General features: G+C 35.7%; 1 protein-coding gene and 1 non-coding gene across 8 annotated transcripts in view; one reads left to right on the forward strand and one right to left on the reverse strand.

Annotated features, from left to right (window-relative positions):
- METTL4 (methyltransferase 4, N6-adenosine) overlaps nucleotides 1-22,184 on the reverse strand; it is a 33,976-nt gene that overhangs the window by 2,750 nt on the left and 9,042 nt on the right. For 2 of the 7 annotated variants that reach the window (XM_005258133.4, NM_022840.5), the window contains exons 4-8: nucleotides 14,390-14,759; nucleotides 12,416-12,485; nucleotides 7,076-7,250; nucleotides 4,374-4,480; nucleotides 3,916-4,007 (exon numbers count right to left, since the gene is read on the reverse strand). In XM_005258133.4, coding sequence (XP_005258190.1) covers nucleotides 3,916-4,007; nucleotides 4,374-4,480; nucleotides 7,076-7,250; nucleotides 12,416-12,485; nucleotides 14,390-14,759 — 814 coding nt within the window. Of the gene's footprint in view, nucleotides 1-387; nucleotides 583-3,915; nucleotides 4,008-4,373; nucleotides 4,481-7,075; nucleotides 7,251-9,631; nucleotides 9,709-12,415; nucleotides 12,486-14,389; nucleotides 14,760-22,184 lie in introns of those variants that run through there. The other 5 variants (XM_047437741.1, NM_001308401.2, XM_005258132.5 and 2 more) reach the window with 5 other exon arrangements.
- LOC124904380 (small nucleolar RNA U109) lies at nucleotides 15,079-15,213 on the forward strand. The gene has a single exon (XR_007066493.1). It is a non-coding gene; the product is annotated as a small nucleolar RNA U109 (small nucleolar RNA).

The raw sequence follows: 22,184 nt of genomic DNA on the forward strand, positions 1-22,184 counted from the left end.
AGGAATTTGGTATAAAATTCAGATAAGAAAAATCACTAGAAAAGGTAAAATATGGTTCATAATTGCTATGTAAGATTGCGCTTGGAAGAAATCTATCAAATTTAGGAATGATAAGGGTTCTTTAGGAATACTAGAGACAGGTAAGGTTTAAAAGAGAATATATCAAATATTTTAGGTTTCATCATGTTCTTCAGTTGCTCTCACAGCAAAATACTTGTTCATCTGTCAGAAAGTACTGGTCCTGTTTAGCAAAAATCAAAGAAGAATTAAAAGGTTTCACTGTCTATAATTCAAGTGAACTCAAATTTGGGCTTTGATGGGTTCTAGGAGATACTGGCACGAAGGCTTCTAACCCTTTCCTAAGTGCATAAATTAAATGCTACTAACCTTGAAAGAGAAAGATTTCCCTAGAGTCTTGGAGGAAATAACCCCACATGGAAGAACTTTTCCATTTTCTTCCCATGAATTTAACGCCTCACCAGCCTCAGTTCACTTTAATGTGGTCTCAGGTTACGCTGAAGAAAGGTTTTGTTTGTTTTTGTTTCATTTGTTCAGATTTTTGGTACGAAGATGTTAGCAACCCTATTTTAGAAATTTAAACTGGAGTCAGCCAGTCAAAAATGTTTCCTCTTCTGAGCACCCACTATAATCAGTGTTATAAAACTTAAACAAAGGAAGCAGAATATCCATGTTTTATGAGAGTTTACAATCTAATGGAAAATAATGGCCAGGTACTTGGATGGAGTGGAAAAATACATACAACCTAAACCCATTTACTGCCATCCTATTTTCTCAATGTAGTAAGTTTTTGCATGGTTCTTTTCCTTTCTAGTTAAGAAAAACAGAATATTAAGTTGTGTTTTTATAATGTTAACTACAATTATTTTATTTCAAAATAAGGGAGAAGAAATAAAGGCAAATTAATAAAAATGGATTATTCTGGTTTTTAAATATTAATTTAAAAATAAATGTGAATGTATAAATTTAAACATGAGTATGACACATAAACTTCAACAATTACATAACATCTGGAGTTAGTAAAACACACTTTAACTAATGGAGCGGATGCAATCTGTGCACAGCTAGTCATTTCGTTTTTGCTCTGAAAGCATGGGGCAGGAGTAAGAGAGAAGTGGCCCAAACATCAGTGCATATAATCCCATCAACTAAACTTCACTCTTCAGATGGAAACTGTTAGTATGTAAAGCAGTAAAAAGAAGTGGAAATTCCTCTAAGGTAAAATGTGAAAGCTAAAATTTTGATTTAAATACTTTATTTCATGATTTTCCTACCTTAAATCTTCAAACAATATCACTTTATAATGTTAGGTTGTAAACCATAGCTATTGATAGCTTATCTTTCAATCGGAGAAAATTTCAAAACTTATGCAAATGTATCATTTTGAAATGCCATATGCTACCAATGTGGTCTCCTACATTTTGCAACAGAAATAACCAATTAAACTTAAAAAAAAAAAATCAGGGTGTTTCTAAATACAAAAGAGAAAACATTTCATTTTATTAATTTGCATAAAACAGTTTAAGAATATTTAAATGTAAAAGCTGTAAGCATTATATACAGAATATATATCATCCCAAACCCCTAGAGTTATGATTTCAGGGTAAAATATACTGCAGAAATCTGAGAGATGCTTTCTGAAATATATAGAAACATGAACTATACTAAAAATATATACAGTAACATGAACTCAAAAATAAAATATTACAATATTTCCTATCACTACTTAACCAAAACATAAGATTTTATATATATATGGAGTTATTCAGATGTTTCCTCCAGAATCTAACTTTTGTCTTTAAATGTTTTCAATGCTAAAAATGTGTTTGTGCTGCTCTCTACTGGGAATGAGGAAGAACTGCATTTCAAAGATATAAGCTGTAATGCTTTAGGGCAAGACTCATTTTTTTTTTCTTTTATTATTATACTTTAAGTTTTAGGGTACATGTGCACATTGTGCAGGTTAGTTACATATGTATACATGTGCCATGCTGGTGCGCTGCACCCACTAACTCGTCGTCTAGCATTAGGTATATCTCCCAATGCTATCCCTCCCCCCTCCCCCCACCCCACAACAGTCCCCAGAGTGTGATGTTCCCCTTCCTGTTTATTCACTATTTTAAAACCTGTCTCCTGAGGCTCATCTTTAAATATAACTTTATTTTATTTTAAAGGAATTGACAAATAGTTTACTATCATTTCAGAATGAAAAGTTTATGGTCTTAGCTTTTGAATTTTTAAAAGAAAAAAATAAGGTTTGAGACAAACACTAGCTTTGTTACCAAGTGATAAATAAAATTCAAATGAGAGGAATACATATACATATATAATCAGGTATTACTAGTGCCAAGTATAATTTTTTTTTCATGAGGAACAATGCAATCTCACTTTCACTTGAGTTATATATTAAAGCATTAAAGGTCTATGACAGTCCGAAGCATAAGGCAATCGATTATTCACTGAGAATCCTTCTTAGTCAAAGAATGGATTATCAGGTAGACATCTGTATATGTCTCAAATGAAGTAATACTATAAACACCCTTCTAGAGGCTGGGTGCGGTGGCTCATGCCTGTAATCCCAGCACTTTGGGAGGCCGAGGCGGGCGGATCACTTGAGGTCAGGAGTTTGAGACCAGCCTGGCCAACATGGCGAAACCCCGTCTCTACTAAAAATATAAAAATTAGGCATGGTGGCACACATCTGTAGGCCCAGCCACTCAGGAGGCTGAGGCAGGAGAATCACTTGAACCCAGGAGGTAGAGGATGCAGTGACCCAAGATCAGGCCACTGTATGTGACAGAGTGAGACTCCATCTCAAAAAAAAAAAAAAAAAAATTAAAAAAGGACCCTTCTCCATAAACTATTTAAGATAACAGAAATCCTAAGTGCTAGCAATAAAAATTCTCTAGGAATTTGTATTCACTTTCTCCATTTCCCAGGTCATAAACTGCCTCATATTCTGCAAGGTAACATAAGCTCCTGTAGTTTTCCTGAGTGGTAACTTGTAGCAGTTTTTTGTTGGTAGAAATTACCAAACCAATAAAATATGTATTCCTGAAGAAATCCTTTGAAAAGTAAACTTTGAATATCAAATTCAGTATCTCTCAAGGACTTATATTTCTATGTTTTTAAACTCTGACTTGAAAAATTTAGCATTCATTGAGCTTCTATCACATGCTACGGAACTTTAAATATAACTAATTCTCACAACTCTAGAGGACTAAATATCATTATTCCCTCTTTAAATGAGGACTTTGATACAGAAAAATATTTGAGTGACTTGCCCAACTCCCAGAGCCAGGATTCAAAATCACATTAGTCCATTTCTAAAGCCAAATTCCCCACTATTCCCTGCTGCATAGTTTCATTGAATGATAAACATTATACTAAAGCATTAAGACTAGTGAGAATTTGCAGGCTGCAGCAATTACCTGTCAATGTTCCAGAAAAGCAACACTACCTTTAAAAAAACGTAAAACTGAGAGCCACTAACCAAATATCAAGGGACTTCTGTTTCTCTGACTACTATTCTGAGTTCCTGGTTTTAGAACAAGCAAGGGATACAGCCCCGGTAGTAAAATAAAGGGTCTAGCTGAACTGCATCCTCAGATGCCCATCAGCATTCTTTGTGTCAGCCCAGTGATGGGAAGCAACTGATAGCAAGGGGAATCTGAAAAATGGTATAACTGGAAAAGCTGAGTAACATAAAACTAATCTATTCTCTATTTCATAGAGATAGGCAAATTCTGCTATGAATTCTGCTATAAAGTTTTAGAATATTCATTAACAACCTACGTCTGACTTAATTTCCGAATCTGTAGGCCGTTTAAATACTAAATGTACACTTTTTTTCAAATTTGACAAAAGTGATAACAATTCTATTTTATAAAAACATACCAGCAAGCGGTGGCTTATGTGAGTGAAGAGTACAGGGCACGCTGACAATTAATTTGTGGTCTGGAATGGGGAGCACGTTTACATCTGCATTCCTAATTAAACAGAACAAGAAAGTAAACTATATTTTAAAAAACAATTTTCTATACATAAGCCACAGCTGCATTGATTTTTGTTCTCTTTCTGTATCTGATTTTAACACAAATTTTACAATCAATGAAAGAAATTAACAATTTAAGTATTGAGACATTCCTATAATTTCATTTTCTATAATAATGACAATTACACACTAGATAAAACAAAATATAGTTTCCTGTGCCATACCATCCATTCTTTTCTACACTGGACCATTTTCAGAGTTTCAAAAACATAAACATTTTAAAAAGTCAATGATTACTAATCATTTTTAAAAGCGTAAAAATTAATACATGTATACAATTTTGAAAAATCACCTTTCCTACCTCAATGGTAGAGCAGTTTTTTCTTGAACCCTCCCCAGTATAAGACCTTCGTAGGGCTTTTTGTGTGGAGAATCTAATGGGAACACAAATTCTCCTGAATTGGTTATCTGATAGGAAGGAGCCAACAAAAGAGGGTTATTTTTTCCCATCACTATAGAGCTTCCACACACACACAAAAGAAATTAAACCTCCAGGCTAGTGATATTCAGTAAAAATACTATGTGAGCCACATTTATCATTTTAAATTTTCTAATAGAAACACCAAAAGAAGTAAAAAAAAAAATGCAATGAAATCAATTTTAATTATATATTTAATTCAGTCTAACATACTTGAAATACTGTCATTTCAATATGTAATCAATTCAAAAAAGTTACTGAGATATGTTACATTCTTTCTTTTGTACTATGCCTGAAATCCAAAGTGTATTTTATACTTAACAGTACATTTCAGTTTGGACTAGCCACATTTCAAGTGCTGAAGTGTCACATGTGTTAGTGGCTACCATATTAGACACTGCTTCTATAAGAGATTTTTATTAAATATCATATAAATATTTCAAATATAACTTCATTATCATCTTGCACATAAAACAATCTCTACTCTTAACTAAAATTGATTCCTGGAAACCATGTCATCAGTAATTTATTAGTTCATGCAAATAAACTAATAAATGAATTACTAATGAACTAATAAATGAATTGCAATATGACTAAGTAGATCATAATAACACGTTTCCCTTTAGTTACACGAGATAGTATCATTAAACATTGTCAAAGCCAAAATTAATAAGGATAGAAAGTGGGTGGTTGATAGACAATACCTAGTCCAGAGACTGGCCCTTGGCATTATAAATTCAGAAATTCAATTTCACATTTCACCCTGGGATGATCATACTCTCAAAGACTCATTTAAGCTAATCAAACTAAAAATAATTTAAAATATCAATTCATTAATTTACCATGGGAATATACATTTTCACTGTCAGAATACTGATATCTGTGAAACTCTTTATCCGATATCAATGTACCTAAACAACCAACTCAGTAATCAGAAAGTCTTTTATCTCCTCTAGGGCCAATCAGACACAGCATATCCTACAAAAAGTGCTGTATAAATACTGGCACGTTGGGTAGTTTTTATACTCAATGCACATTACCCCTCCTATCATAACAATATGTATAATTGCCTAATAAATGCTTCATATAACATAATAGATGATATTTATGTTTTAAATTCTGGTCTTATCATACCATCTCTTAGAACTGATAACTACTACGGATTAATAATCTTAGTTTCTATGTATTAACATTTTACTGGGTTTGATTTCAAAAGGTGACCTCCTCCTGACTTTGGTCCCAGTTTCTGACTATAAAAGAACTATCATAATAGGCAAGACGGAACAGGGTAGTATACTCCTATCACGGTCCTATACCAAATCAACCAACACTAAGACCAAAGTACAGCATGAAAACAAAGATACAACTGTAAGTCTTTGTCAAGTCCCATAACATAGGTATAAATAAACAATATACACTTGTCCCCCCTTATCCACAGTTTCACTTTCCAGGTTTTCAGGTACTCATGGTCAACCACAGTCCAGAGATAGGTAAGTACAGTACAGTAAAATATTTTGAGAGAGAGACCACATTCACATAACATTTACAGTATATTGCTATAATATTCTATTTTATTATTAGTTATTGTTTATCTCTCTATTTATAAATTAAGCTTTCTCATAGGTATGTATGTATACAAAAAAAATTATATATGGGGTTCAGTACCATCCATGGTTTCAGGCATCCATTAGGGGTCCTGGAATGTATCCCCCCAAGGATAAGGAGAACTACTGTACACAGCTTTTAGAAGATATTCCAGTAGATGAAAAAGTATACACAAAGCCATAAAAAGTACAACTCCACTGTGTCAAAAATGAGTATGCTTGCAATATAAACATTAAACACTAAAATAATAGCTTGGATTATCTTTTCAAAATTTAGAAAGGCGTTTATAGAAATCATCTAAATAGTCAATGTATCTTTAAAAGGAAACCTGATGAACTCTAAATTGATGCCTTATTTTTCTGTATTTTTTGGTAATCTTGTAGCATGCAGAGATATTAAAGATCATTCAACCAATTCTAGAGTCCAAATCATTTCTTTCAAAAATATGCACAGCAGCACAAAAGGCACTGAGGACCTAAGTTAAGATTTAGAGCATAAAAGGTTCTTGGTTCTGGCATCTTCCCATCCCCTCTACAATGGGTTACTTTGCTATTCCTTGCCCTCATCCCCCACAAAATAAGAAAAAGAAATCACAAAGGGTGGTTGAAACTGTGAGTATATAAAGGGAAGAAGATGAAGAGTAAGACTATTTCTATGTTTGGTGATACACAATTCCCCAAAGTTTTTGTTTGTTGTTTTTTAAACTACAGACAAAATCAGAGCTTTTAAAAATTTTATCCTGATATCTTCCAGACTGACTTCCCAAAGCCAGCAGTTTGAGGCCCCATTACAAAAAGACATACAAAAAAAATATAGCCTTGAGAATAAAAATATAAAAGTGGTAAGCAGCAAAGCAAAAGTCTGAATTAGCCCATGTTGAAGGAGTACAGCAGTGACATGTTGAGCATTACAAAGTAGATGCTACCTTTATGTGACTTCTATCAAGCTGTATTAACAAATAAGCTAACTTCTGAACTTACTTTTACCCAGTGCCACTCAGCAACTACCTCCACAGACCAAGAGGGATAAAGTTCTTCCTTTATAAAACGTAGGTGCTTCTGTCTATTGGTCACCCAAGTAACAAGAAGACAGTTTGGAGCAGCCAATTTAGGGATAGGTATTTGCTGTATTTGCAGGGGTGACAAATAACTGTACCTAAAAATAAACGGAAAAAAGGATGAGCAAAATTCACTGCAAAAGAAGAAAACTAAGCAGGGATAAGACATGCATAACACAGACTCCACAAATGCAAAGCTCTTACTGCTATTTATTTGTGTAGCAAAATATAAAGCCACAGTGACACCCAGTGGACATATTATTACACACAAGACAAAAATCACCTTTTTTTTAACTAGTTTAAAATCGTCAGGCTGTATTTTTTTTTAGTCACTTCTAAATGCATTACATTTCAGTAATTTTACTATTAACAATATTTTTTTCTCCAATTCAAAATTAAGCAAATATTGTTGTTTAGATCCCATACTCTACGTTACACAGGAGCCCTGTCACAGTGAGTCTTGAAACGAGTCTCTCAATAACCTAAGTCAAACCATACAAGCCTTACCTGGCACCAAATCAGTGTTGCAAAATTGGTAATGCTAAAGCCAATCTATTCCAATGAAGCTTCTCCTAGCCCTAGAATCCTCAAACCCTGCACAAAATGCTGACTCCTTCACAGGGAGTCATCTCACCTATCCTCATCTCCACCCCACTGCATTTGCAACCCCTAATCTATCATCTTGCTTTTTGCCTTCTCAGTCAATTCCACTGGGTTCTCTAAAGCCCTCATATTTTCATTTTGTAAAACAAAATCTATAATCTTGTACCTCCTGGCCATAGAGTATAATGGCTAGTTTGTCCTGCAAAAATACTACTTGCTCTACAATACTCAATCAAATGAATATGGCCCCTTCTCCAACATTCAGTGGAAGGGGAGAAGTCATTATTCTCCTGGCTCCCCCATTGCTGCTTCTAGGCTATAACTCATCCACCTTTGCAAAAAAAAACCCTGTTCTCTTTGAGAGGTATGCTATCCAGCTATGTTAACCTCTACTGTTCCTCACTGAATCCATTTCATCCTCAACATATTCAATAAGGACTTAAGCTCTGAGATCCCACTACCTCACCAACACAAAACTGGCCACTATTCTGAACAATTTCAAAGCACAATCCATATAATGTATATACTTCAACTATTCTTCACCTAAACAAATACAACTGCCTTCATCCCACTTCCATAATCCACTCCAATGCCATAACCTGGACCCTGTCATCACTCACACTTGCTCCTTCTCTGAAACCATAAACATCAATCTCTGGCAATAACATGCTATGCCTCACCTACTCTTTGAGCTTATCTAGCAGCTTATTCCTGATTACACTTGCTCTTCTTCCCCGTGGACCGCCAATCGTTTCATTGTCTTCTCACTAGCACTCTCAGTTCCCATCCTCCCTTTACCCTTCAACCTCACAGTTCCTGCAAACCTCCCATCTTAAATCAGTATCACAATTTTATTCCACTTGTTTGTATAGGGAAAATCAGATGAAGAAAATGCGGAAGAACTGGGTATTAAAAGTTTATAAAATCCATTATCAGGATCTTAAAGTACTCATCAATTCTTTTACTCATCCTTGGTCAAGTACCACAAACCCTCACCACTCTTCAGATCCCTTGACCAAACTCTCTCTTAGCAGGTAAAGTTAACTCATACATCAGTAAAACTAAAGGCCGCCAACCTCCCTCAACTACCCAACCCTAACCCCTCTCCTTTATATACCTTTACTTATCTATTTCCATACATTTCCTCTTAAAGGAAATGGCATGATTTCACCTATTAAAGCTTATCCCTCCGGTTGTATTCTCTTAGTCCCATATGCTAGTATCTTGTAATACCAATTATCCCCTCCTTCTCTATTTTCAACTTCTCTAGTAGTTCTTTACCATCAACCTACAAATATGATTATCCTATCTCATTTGAAAAGAAGATGAGAAAAGGAGGAGAGAGGGAGGAGAGAGTAAGAAGAGGAGAGGAAAAGGTGTGGAGGGGAGGAGAGGAGAAAGAAGAGGACAGAGAATACAGAAGAGAAATTCCCTCAATTCCATCACCTTCTATCTACAACTAAGCTAAGGACTTGTATGCAAATCCTACTTTATCTCCTTTATTTTATTCCTTAGTTGACTCCAATGAGACTTTTACCACTATGCCTACTCTGAAAAAAGTAAATGACTTCCTAATGGCCAAATGCAACAAACATTGGAATCCAGCTCTAGCATGTGACAACTGTATGTCAGGGACAATCAATAAGTATTTCTTAAAACAAATAGGGCTGGGTGTGGTGGCTTATGTCTGTAATCCCAACACTTTGGGAGGCCGAGGCAAGTGTATCACCTGAGGACAGAAGTTTGAGACTAGCCTGGCCAACATAGTGAAACCCCATCTCTACTAAAAAAAAAAAAAAAAAAAAAAAAATTAGCCGGGTGTGGTGGCAGACACCTGTAATCCCAGCTACTCAGGAGGCTAAGGCAGAAGAATCACCTGAACCCAGGAGGTGAAGGTTTCAATGAGCCGAAATCATACCATTGCACTCCAGCCTGGGCGACAACAGCGAAACTCTGTCTCAAAAAAAATAAAATAAAATAAAAATAAATAAATAAATAAGCAAAAGAATTCAGATCTCAAGCACCCAAGTTTCCTGCCATCGAAACAAGTGCTCTTCCCGCAGACTAGTATTTCTCATAATCGAAGTGATGAAGGAACTAATTTTGCTACAGTATGAAGAATGTCAGGTCAAAAATTTGAAAGTACATGGTTTCAGTAACTGCAGATTCCTTGATTGCCTTAATTTAATTGGGTTGATTTGTGTGGAGAAAGAGGAAATATTCATATCTCCTCTTCTAGCTCTAATTTCATGGAAATCACTGAGCAAATTCTAAAATATGCATATTTATGTGATGCAATGGAAAGTATGCAAAAAAACAGAAAGAAAATGGTGAGAATGTGGAAAAACTAGACCCCTCATTGCCAGTGGGAATATAAAATGGTGCAGGCACTGTAGAAATTAGTTTGATAGCTCTTCAAAAATTTAAAGATAGAATTACATGGTGTAGTAATTCCACTTCTAGGTACACATCCAAGAGAACTATTAATAAAAATACATCACCCAGAGTTAGCCAAACTGCAAAGTTTGAAGGTGCAGTCCTGAAGACACCTCACTTCTAAAACCAACTGCAAGTTAAGGTAGTTTCCAAAGCCACCCATAGGATCAAAAATTTGCTAAACTAACAAAACTTACTGAAAGCTTTTATATTCATAGTTACAATTTCTCAGGGGTAAGGATACAAATTAAAATCAGTCAAAGAAAGAGAGTCAAAAGATACTGAAGAAGTATGACAACTGAACATGTATAATCCAGACTTTTATTTGCTACAAAGGACATTCCTGGGACAATCAGTGTAGCCTGAATAATGTCTGTACATAATAGTGCCAAATCAATAAGGATATTATATCAGCCGGGCGCGGTGGCTCACGCCTGTAATCCCAGCACTTTGGGAGGCCGAGGCGGGCGGATCACGAGGTCAGGAGATCGAGACCATCCTGGCTAACATGGTGAAACCCCGTCTCTACTAAAAATACAAAAAATTAGCCGGGCGTGGTAGCGGGCGCCTGTAGTCCCAGCTACTCGGGAGGCTGAGGCAGGAGAATGGCGTGAACCCGGGAGGCGGAGCTTGCAGTGAGCCGAGATCGCGCCACTGCACTCCAGCCTGGGCGACAGAACGAGACTCCGTCTCAAAAAAAAAAAAAAAAAAAAAAGAATATTATATCAATGTTGATTACCTATTTTGATAATTACATTATGTAAAACAATTATCTTTGTTTTTAGGAAATACATACTGAAATATTCAAGGCTAACTTACCCTTTCTCTTAATTAATTCATTCTCAAGTAACTCACAAAAAAATTATATAAAGATATAGATATCTGCACACACAGAAAACAGATACATGAATTCTTTGTATGATTCTTGTAACTTTAAAAGAAACAAATCTGGCCAGGCATGATGGCTCACACTTGTAATCTCAGCACTATGGAGGCTGAGGCAGGAGGATCGCTTGAGACTAGGGGTTCAACCTGGGCAACACAGCAAGACACTGTCTCTACAAAAAAAATGTTTAAATAGCCGAGTGTAGTGGCATACACCTGTAGTCCCAGCTACTCAGGAGGCTTAGGCAGCAGGCACATCTGAACCAGAAGTTTGAGGCTGCAGTGAGCTGTGATTGCACCACTGCATTCCAGCCTGGGCAACAGAGTGAGACCCTATCTCAAAATAAAAAAAAAGAAGAAGAAGAAAAAGGAAAGAAAAGAAACAAATCCTACTGGCACAGCTCATAAACAAGAAGCGTAAGAAAGGTGAGGATCACTGAGGAGAAGAAGAAATTTCATATGAAGTTTAAGTCAAGGAAATTGGAATTTTTTCATCTAGAAAACTGAAAAGTAAGAGACAATGTAACTGAAGACATTCATTAGAATTGAAAGGAAAAGGCCAGGCACGGTGGCTCACGTCTGTAATCCCAGCACTTTGGGAGGCCGAGGCAGACAGATCATGAGGTCAGGATTTCGAGACCAGCCTGGCCAATATGGTGAAACCCCGTCTCTACTAAAAATACAAAAATTAGCCGGGCATGGTGGCGTGCGCCTGTACTCCCAGCTACTCGGGAGGCTGAGGAAGAAGAATCGCTTGAATCCAGGAGGCAGAGGTTCCAGTGAGCCAAGATCGCGCCACTGCACTCCAGCCTGGTAACGGAGTGAGACTCCATCTCAAAATAAAATAAAATAAAATAAAATAAGGAATTGAAAGGAAAAAATTGTTTAATGCTATTGAAAGGAAATATCACCTTAGTAAATAACTTATCGCCCTAAGAAGTAACATAAACTAAAAAATTAAAAACAAATTTAAGAATGAATTAGACAAATTCATTCATAACACTTTATTAAGGAAAACTAGAAATATCTTGGCACATATTTCTAAACTTTAGAATTTGATATCAAAGAAGACAAATATGTTGTCCTTTGGTGTTAACAGAAACAGCCCTGAACTGCTTCTGGCATTAATAAATGCACTACTTTTGACATTCTTACACTTATATATAGTTACAGTTCAAGAGAATTAACTAGTTAAGGAAATTAAGCTGTTAAAACTATTGAAAGCATTTTAGTAGTTTCAGATAATCTATATCATAAAGTAATGTCAATAGTATATTAAACTATAATGTACAAAGGACTACAGTTTTTTTAGAAAGCAAATGCTTTCATTTCCACTTACCTATTACTTCTTTTAACTGATTTGTTCTGCCATGGTGGATCTATCACAATTACATCAAATGTTTTCCTATCTGAAAACAAAGATACAATTTCAGAAAATACCTTCTCTATGTGATCACTTTAAAAACTAAACATGTTCTTCAAAACTCAAGTGATTTCACTACGGACACGAATATAATGGAATGCACCAAAGGGATCTGTATATAGCATTTATTCAAACAGAGTAATTTATCATTAAATATTAGATGTTTCCTTTACCTCTAGAATTGTATCATAATGTTACCTATTGCAATTGTTGCAGAGACTATCTGCAGATGACTACAGCTCAGTAAGCTGAACACTAATGATCTGTGAATTCCCTATGCGTCTTGGCAGCCATATTAATATAGTTCTAAGAAATCTAGGTCTTTTTTTTACTTTTTATTTTAAAATAATTTCAGCCTTTACAACTGACTTATTGGCCATAATAAAACTTCCCCAATTATTTACTAATGTACTTTTTCTGACCCAGGATCAAAGCCAGGATCAAACATTGCATTTAGCTGCCATCCCTCCTAACTCTCCTCCAACCTGGAAAAGTTCCTCGGTCTTTCTTCGTCTTTCATGATTTTGAAACTTTTAAAGGCTACCAATTATTTTATAGGATGTCCCTCAATCTGGGTCTAGTATTTTCTCATGATTAAATTTAGATTACTTATTTTTTGCAAGAGGACCACCAAAGTAATGCCTGCCATGCCCTATCAGTGCAACATATCAGGAGATAAAGGATGTTAAAGAGTCTTTGGTTAAAGTGTTGTCTGCTGAGTTTCACCAGTTTTTCCCTTGTAATTAACAAGTATCTTGGGAGGAGATACTTTAAGACCATGAAAATATCCTGTCTCATCTTTTCATCCACTATTTTGACATCCAATTATTATGGTGTTTGTCAGATGGAAATTCTCTAGATCCATCATTCCATTCATTTATTAACTGGAATTTTACTGTAAGGAAGAGCTGTCCTTTCTCCCCCTTTTATAAACATAGGTATATTTTTGTAAATGTGTACAATCTCATAAGTAATCAAAAGAATGCAAATTAAAATAAAGAAGTGACACTTTTTAAGCTATTAGAGTAACAAAGATCAAAAAGAAGAGAAAAAATGTGCATGCATAGAATGGTTTTCTCATTAATTTGTTATCCTGTCATTTACTCTGAAGAATTTATGGCACTGCTACATGGATAACCACTCAAGTGTAAGATGGCTTGATAGCAATTAAAAGAAGCTTTTCATTAGTAAGTTGTGTTGTAGTTGCTCAGTAACTTAAAATTTTGCTATAAAATGTCCAAATAACAATAAACAGCACATTAAATTCAATCTGATCAATATACCTCAAAATGACCCTAAGCAGCAGGTATTATCATGTCCATTTTATAGATTGGAGACTGGGGCTCGGTTTTGTGAAATGAATACCCCAAAGACTCACAGTTAAATAAGCTTCAGAATCTAAAGTCAAATACAGGTCTGTGTGACTGCGGACTTCAATATTTAAATTTTTTAACTTTGTACGGAAATGTTTCAAGAAATTTTAGACAATGAGCTTGAACACTAGCCTAAATGGTATCCTTTATACAAGGCTAGGAATGATGTGGGAATTGATATTCATAACTGAAGTGTTTCTACTTTGCTATGAAAAAAAGTTAAAAAAAAAAGTGATTTGGTTAAACACAACTGCATACCGAATTCCTAAGTACAGAGAAGTAACTATATTTGTTCTCTTAGAAATTAGCTTTTGACTCTTTATTCACAATATTTATTTTTTTAAAAAAAGCAAAAGTCAGCACCTTAAAATTAAACCTAAGAGACAAATAACCCAAGGAAAAGTGTCTACCCTATCCTCATAAATGCTGACCCATCTTCAAATTTCAGACTAGCTCTTAACTTTTCAGCCCACGGAAAAATTATCTTTTTCTAATAACAAACACAATAATTACTTACAGTTTAGAAGTGGTTGCATACAAGAAATGTCAGATAAAAGAAAACTGCTTTTCGGTGGTAGCAGGTATTTCTGTCCCATTAAAGTAATCACTTTTGTAAAGCTAGAGTTGTTTTCAACAACTCGCAAAAATAAATCCTGTTCTGTAACAGATGTATCCTCTTCCACCAATTGTAATGTCTGATGTTCCATTTCATTCAGAGAAGGCAAATGCTTTGCCATTTCACATAATTCTGACAAACTGCAGGCGTCAAGTGGTAAAGTAATGGGCTTACTACCCTTGTCCTGTTTTTCAAAAAGTGGATAAAGAAAACCACTTTTGAGACCTTCCTGGATCAACTGTAAAGATCCATCCAAAATCAGCTCCCTGATCTGTAAGAGAATTTTAAGTACATTAAAAGAACGTTGACATTAAAAAAGAACATTGACTGTGCTTTGAATATCTGAGTTTATAAACTGAAATCAATATCCTTAACACTTACAGTAAAATAATTCTGTACTACAATGAAAAGAATGTGTGAGCACGCCTTTGAACTGCTGTTTCCCAACTGCAGAGTGAAACAACCCTCACAAATTCACTGACAACTAAATAACCAAATACATGTAAGAAAATATATCCTCAAACATGTATAAGGTAAATTTGATAATCTGAATGTTTCTAGAAGAAAATGGGATTTCTAATCTATAGGGATTGCATGAGGAAGTATCTGCTCTTCATTCCTTTGGGAGGAGAAATACATCCATAACATGCTAAATTATAAAAGGAGGTCTCAGGGCTGCCAACCTTTCAATAGAGGTTGAGTGGTAGCATATTACTCCTATATAAGAAAAAAATCATCATCATCTTCTATAGGGAGAATTAAGTTTAAATCACAACACTTAATCTTAGATTTCTCTGGTTATCTAATTTTAAAATAAACATACCTTTTCTTTCACAAAACATAGCTTGAATTATAAAGAAAAACATAACTCTATAAAACAAACATATAAACAAAGTTTTATAAAAATACAACTAAAATAATTATAAAAAATAAAACCCAAGTTCCCCTTCTGGACAAGATGGAGTATCATGGATCAGATTTACCCTTTCATCTGAAATTACTTTTTTTAAATGCACAAAATATGTTTGTTTGTTTTGTTGGTTGGTTGGTTGGTTGGTTGGATGGTTGGTATGTTTAAAAAAAAAAAAAGGCTTTCAGACTTCAGATGCCATGCAGTGTAGAACAGTGGTCCCTAAACAGCAAAAACAAAGGACCACTCCAGCTTACTGCCTTCAGAAAGTTCCCAGGCACAGGGAAGACACATGCAGAGTCCAATAGTCTCTCTGAGTTAAGGAGATGGAGCTTGGAGTCTAGAAAGGCCAAGGAAGGTGCCAGAGAGGAGACAGCACAGACAGAGCTCCTAAGAGCTGCAGGGGATCTGCCCAGAATTCCAGCCGAGTCACGATCAACACATGCATGGGATGAAACTACCAAAGGCAAGGAAGGAAGAACCAGATGAAATGACCCGAGGAAACAATCCTCAGGGCTCACCCAGGGCTGAGAATAGTTAGTGCTCCCCAATGCCAAAATGGAAAACCTCATAACTCACAGAACATCAGGCAGACAATTCACAAGGGCATTGCCTCGGCAATTGGGAAAAAAAAAAATAGCTTTAGACCAAAGTCTGCTCTGATCATAACTAAATGAGCTTAAAGAGAGTCTCAGAAAGATCAACCAGTTGCAAAGAAACTTTTTCTGAGAAAAAAGCTCAAGAATATTTAAACAAATATGAAAATATGAACTACCCAAAAAGCTAAAGTAGAAACATCTTACAAAAAATTTAAAATTATCAGGAATGTAAAGAAGCAGAAAAATTTATTATAAAAGGAAAAAATCACCAAATGGAAACATAGGAATGATACAGATGATAAAATTAGTAGAAAAGGTTAGGTAGGTTTACTTGCAGTCCAAATAAAAATATTGGGAATAAAAGTAAAAAATGATATTAAGGTATTTATACTATATTCATATGATCAAAGATGTAAAGGAAAAAAATGAGCATATTAAGAAGTGACATAGAGACATAAAAAAAGGACCAAATGTGTCCAAAATGAAGACAGAAAAAGTATTTGAGGAAATAATGGCTGAAAATTTCCAAATTTGCTGAAGAGGATGAGGAGGAGGTGGGGGTCAGGGGAGGAGGAAGAAGAGGAGGAGGAGGAATCCGCACTATGTAACATCCTAATCAAATTGCTAAAAGAAACAGTGATAAAGAGAAATGTTCAAAGCAGTGAGAGACTTCCACTGGCTGGAACAACAAAGAGAAACAGTAGCAAGAGCTTTTAAAACATTAGGCAAGGAAGGACAGTAGCCCTAAGCAATGGGAAAGAAATCGATAGCCCCAGCAAATTGCCTGGAGAGAGTTTCCAGGCCATAGAAAGGAAGAATCTGAGCAGAGCCTGGAAGAATCCCTGAGTTGAGGAGATGGAACTGAGAGTACAGTTAACAGTTCACAGGACAGAATATCAGAGAGGAAAGGGCTCCACAGAGAGAGAACTCAGGAAATCTGCAGGTAGGCACACTAGAGAAATTTACCTATGTACTGATCAGTACAAGTGTGTGAAGGAACTATCAGAAGCTGGGAAAATGAGTACCCCAAAAATTTAAAAAATAAAAATAAAAAAAGTATCTGATGCTCCCTAGGGCCAAGAATAGTGCCTGTTTCCACCACTCAGATGGGAACACCTCATGATTCACAGGGCAACTGGGAGACAATTCATCCTGAGTCTCTGAGCAGAGGCACTGACAGCTTTTGTTCCAGAAAAAATTTCCAAGGATATGTATACAACATGGAAGATGGAGTAGTGTCTCCCCAAGGCAGAGGATAGACTTGTATGCTGTCCAGGTTAATAAAGTCTCCCTCTGGGGCAAAAGGTCAGACAGGTTTGTTTGCAACCCACTTAAAAGATGAGAGTTCCCTAAGCTTGGGATCCTTAGCTGTGAATCAAAGAATTGCTGCATGCATAGGAAACCCACTGCATGCACAGCATCTAACTATGTTGATTGCCACTGTCCTCATGTGACATGGGGTGCAAAGGGAGCCTGTGAGCATAAAGCACATGCTGTGCCAGGAGCAGTAAAATCCTTTGTCCCTGACCTAGGAGTCTCCTATCTTCTGCTAGCATCCATGAAACTAAAGCAAGCTAATTTGTTAGCTTCCAAATAGGGTAAAATTTCAGACACTTCACAGTTCTTGACAGGGGTACTGGGTAATTAGACCGATCTTGCATCAGTATAGGGGCATAATTAGCCTTAAACACTATTCTAAACCAACCCAAAAAAATCTACCCAGCAAGTGAGAAATTAATGCAAAAATCTCTAAAGACACAGAAGTTCTGAAAAACACTATCAACTAACTTTATCTGACATTCATAGAACACTGCCTCTAACACTGCATCTGACATTCATAGAACACTGCATCTAACAATTTTTGGAAAGAATATGTATAGACAATACATATTCTTCCCAAAAGCATATAATACAGGCACAAAGATAACTCGTATGCTGGGCCATAAAACAAGGTTCTAGAAATGTAAAAGGACTGAAATCCCAAGCGTATGTTCTATACCCCATTGGATTTAAGTTAGAAATCAAGAACAAGAAGACACTGAGATAAACTCATTACCTGGAAATGAAATAGAACACTTCTAAATAATTCATATAGGTCAAAGATGAAATAATAAGGAAAATCAGAAAATAACTTTTTATTGAATCAAAATGAAAATACAAAATATCAAAATACGTGGAAGGCAACCAAAGCAGTGATTTAGAGGGAAACTTACAGCTTTAAGTGCTTAAGTTAGAAAAGAAAAAAAGATGTAAGTTAACCGACATAACATTCCACTTTAAGAAAATACCCAAGAAAATTAAAAATTAAAAAAGTTAGAAAAAGAAGAGCAAAGTAAACCAAAAGAAATAATAAAAAAAAACACAGAAGTCAATAAAATGGAAAACACAGAGACAGTAAGGAAAATTAACTAAATTAAAAGCTTGTTCTTTGAATATTTGTAAATCATATATCTGATAGGGGGTTAATATCCAGAATATACAAAGAACTTCTAAAACTCAACAAGAAAAAAAACAAACAGCCCAGAAGATGAACAAAGGATACAAACAGACATTTCTCTCAAGAAAATATACAAATGGCCAACAAGCACATAAAAAGATGCTCAACATTACTAACCATTAGGTAAATACAAATCAAAACCACAATGAGATACTACTCCACACCTACTAGGATAGCTATTATCAAAAACAAAAGTGTCGGCAAGGATGTGGAGAAACTGGAGCCCTTGGGTATTGCTGGTAGGAATGTAAAATGATAGAACCACTGTGGAAGGCAGTATGGTGGTTCCTCCAAAAATTAATCACAGAATTACGATAAAATCCAGCAATTCCACTTCTGGGTATATATCCAAAAGAACTAAAAGCAAGAACTGGAATAGATATTTGTACACCTGTCTTCAGAGAAGCATTATTCACAACAGCCAAAAGGTAGAAACTACGCAAAAGTCCATAAACAAATGGATAAACAAAATGTAATATTTACATAAAATGGAATATTTTTCAGCCTTAAAAAGGAAAGAAATTCTGATATATGCTACATGGATGAACCTTGAAGACATAGTGAAATAAGCCAGATGCAAAAGGGCAAGTATTATGTGATTTAACTTACATGAGGTATAGGCAAATTCACAGAGACAGAAAGTAGAATACTAGTTACCAGGCAGCAGGGGAAGGGGGAGTGGGGAGTTACTATTTAATGTGTAGTTTCAGTTTGGATGTGGTAATGATGGCATGACACTCTGAATGTACTTAGTGCCACTAAATTGTACATCTAAAAATGGTTAAAACAGTAAATTTTATGATACGTATATTTTACCTATTTAAAAAAACCACAAATTACTAATAAAAGCAATGAAAAAGTTATCATCACCACAGATCCTACAGACATTAAAAGAAAGCATAAGATAACATGACTTCATGCTAACAAATTTGACAACTAGGATGAAATGAACACATTTCTGTTTTTTGTTTTTTATTTTTTCGAGAGGGAGTCTCTCTGTCACCCAGGCTAGAATGGAGTGGCATGATCTCGGCTTACCGCAACCTCCACCTCCCAGGTTCCAACAATTCTCCTCCCTCAGCGTCCCAAGTAGCTGGGGTTATAGGTGCCCACAACCACACCTGGCTAATTTTTTTATATTTTTAGTAGAAATGGGATTTCACCATGTTGGCCAGACTGGTCTCCAATTCCTAACATCAAGTGATCTGCCCACCTCGGCCTCCCCATAGTGCTGTGATTACAGGCATGAACCACCATGTCCAGCCTGAAATGAACACATTTCTTAGAAAATAAAACTTGTGAAAACTGACATCAATAGAAACAAAAAACCTGAAAATCCGGTTCTCTATTAAAAAACCTGATTTTGTTACTAAAAACCTTCCCCCATGACAATTAAAACACAACACATCGGAACGTACATGATGTTGCTAAAGCTGTGCCCAGAGAAAAAGTCTCATCATTAAATTCTTCTATCAATAAATAAAGAAAAAAGAAAAGAGGAAAAAAGTAAAGTTGCCAAAAAAGTATCCACCACAAAAAGCAACACACTGAGATGGTTACAAAGTGGGGGTTCTATCAAACTTTATCAAACTTTTAAAGAACAAATTATCCCAATTATTTTTCTATTGCTCCAGAAAATTGGAAAGTAAAAAGAAGGAAAACTTCTAGCTTCCAACACGAGAGGGCTAATAAGTTCTCCAGCGTGCAAACATCCTACATATTTACATATATAATTATATATAAGGCCGAAGAAGTAAATATATCAGACCAATCTCTCTTATGACTGTCCCAAATAAAACATTAGCAAATAAAATCCAGTAGAGGCCGGGCGCAGTGGCTCACGCCTATAATTCCAGCACTTTGGGAGGCCGAGGCGGGCAGATCATGAGGTCAGGAGATTGAGATCATCCTGGCTAACACAGTGAAACCCCGTGTCTACTAAAAAAATACAAAAAATTAGCTGGGCGTAGTGGCGGGCGCCTGTAATCCCAGCTACTCGGGAGGCTGAGGCAAGAGAATGGCATGAACCCAGGAGGCAGAGTTTGCAGTGAGCGGAGATGGGCCACTGCACTCCAGCCTGGGCGACAGAGCGAGACTCTGTCTCAAAAAAGAAAATCCAGTAGAACATTTTAAAAATAGTAACATCATGATCATTTGGAATATATTCTGCAAATGCAAGGATGGTTAATTGAGGAAGAATCATAGGAAAAATCTATTCAGTCTCCTTCAATAGGATCAATAGGTTCATGGAAAAAAATTTTTAAAAAAGAAAAAAAAAATCTGTTCAATCTCCATATATGCCTAACATGTTATTTCCAACTCAGTTGAAACCCAGTATTATGCTTAATGATGAAATTATCCCCCTTGTCAAGCACAAGACAAAGTAAATATGCTCACATATATTACTTATGTTTATTATGCACACAAATATTCTTTAATATTGTATTATAATTTCCACCCTACAGAATTAGAGAAGAAATCAGAAACATGATAATTGGAAAGGTATAAGTAAAATTACTACTATTTGAAAGAGTTCTATATCTGGAAAATCCAAGAGATACAACAACAAAAAATTACTACAACTTAACAAGAAACCTGCAAGGCCTTTATAAAGAAAATTTTACACAACGACAAAACAAAACGTGAGCAAATGGAAAAATACATTCATGTTTTGGGGCGGAATCACCAACATCTTAAAGATGTCAACACTGCCCTAATTTAATTTAGAAATTTAACTTGATGCCATAAAAATGGCAACAGGTTTTCTAACTAGATGTTATCATTGATCCTAAAATTTATATGGGGAAAGAAAACAAATTTATTAAAAAGAGGAGTGATGAGAAAAGGATGGGGATGGGCAGGACTGGCACTACCGGATAGTCAAACCTCTAAATCTGATTCAGCAAATATTCTGTCCTACTACTTTTTAAGAGTTTGATTCCATTCTGCAGCACATTTCATAATTTGTATTTATGATTAATACAAGTATTTAGCAATTAGAATATACATGAATTCAAGAAATTCTATTCTCTAATTTCATGTAAACTTTAAAGTGAAAGTAAATCTTATTAATTTTTTTATAGATATAAATACCCTGGATTTTCCTGGTATTTCTGCAGTTAACCTTGCAAGTGTCATTTCCAGAAAATAAGTGTATTTCCAAAATTAACAGATAAACTGCTCACATTGAGGGATTTAACATTTGTGTATTCAGCTGTCTTCAGAACATTTAAAACCCAATGTGTTTACGAAAACCACAATAAGATACCACTTTATATCCGTCAAAATGGCTATGATTAAAAAAAAGGGGGGCAGGGGCTGCATACAGTGGCTCTTGTCTGTATTCCCAGCACTTTGGGAGGCCAAGGCAGGAGGACTGCTTGAGCCCAGGAGTTCAAGACCAGCCTGGGCAACATAGTTAAGACCTTATCTCTACAAAAAAATAAAAAATTAGCTGAGCGTGGTGGCACATGCCTGTAGTCCCATCTACTCAGGAGGCTGAGGCAAGAGGATCACTTGAGCCCAAGAGTTCAAAGCCACGGTGAGCCATGACTGCACCACTGCACTCCAGCCTGGGCAACACGGTGAGACCCTGTCTCAAAAGAAAAAATGAAAGTTAAACATAAAAGCTAATCCAACAATTCCACTTCTGGGTATATACCTAAAAAAAGCAGGGACTCAAAACAGATA

Source organism: Homo sapiens, chromosome 18 (genome assembly GCF_000001405.40).
Source record: "Homo sapiens chromosome 18, GRCh38.p14 Primary Assembly".
In the NCBI taxonomy this organism is placed as follows: domain Eukaryota; kingdom Metazoa; phylum Chordata; class Mammalia; order Primates; family Hominidae; genus Homo; species Homo sapiens.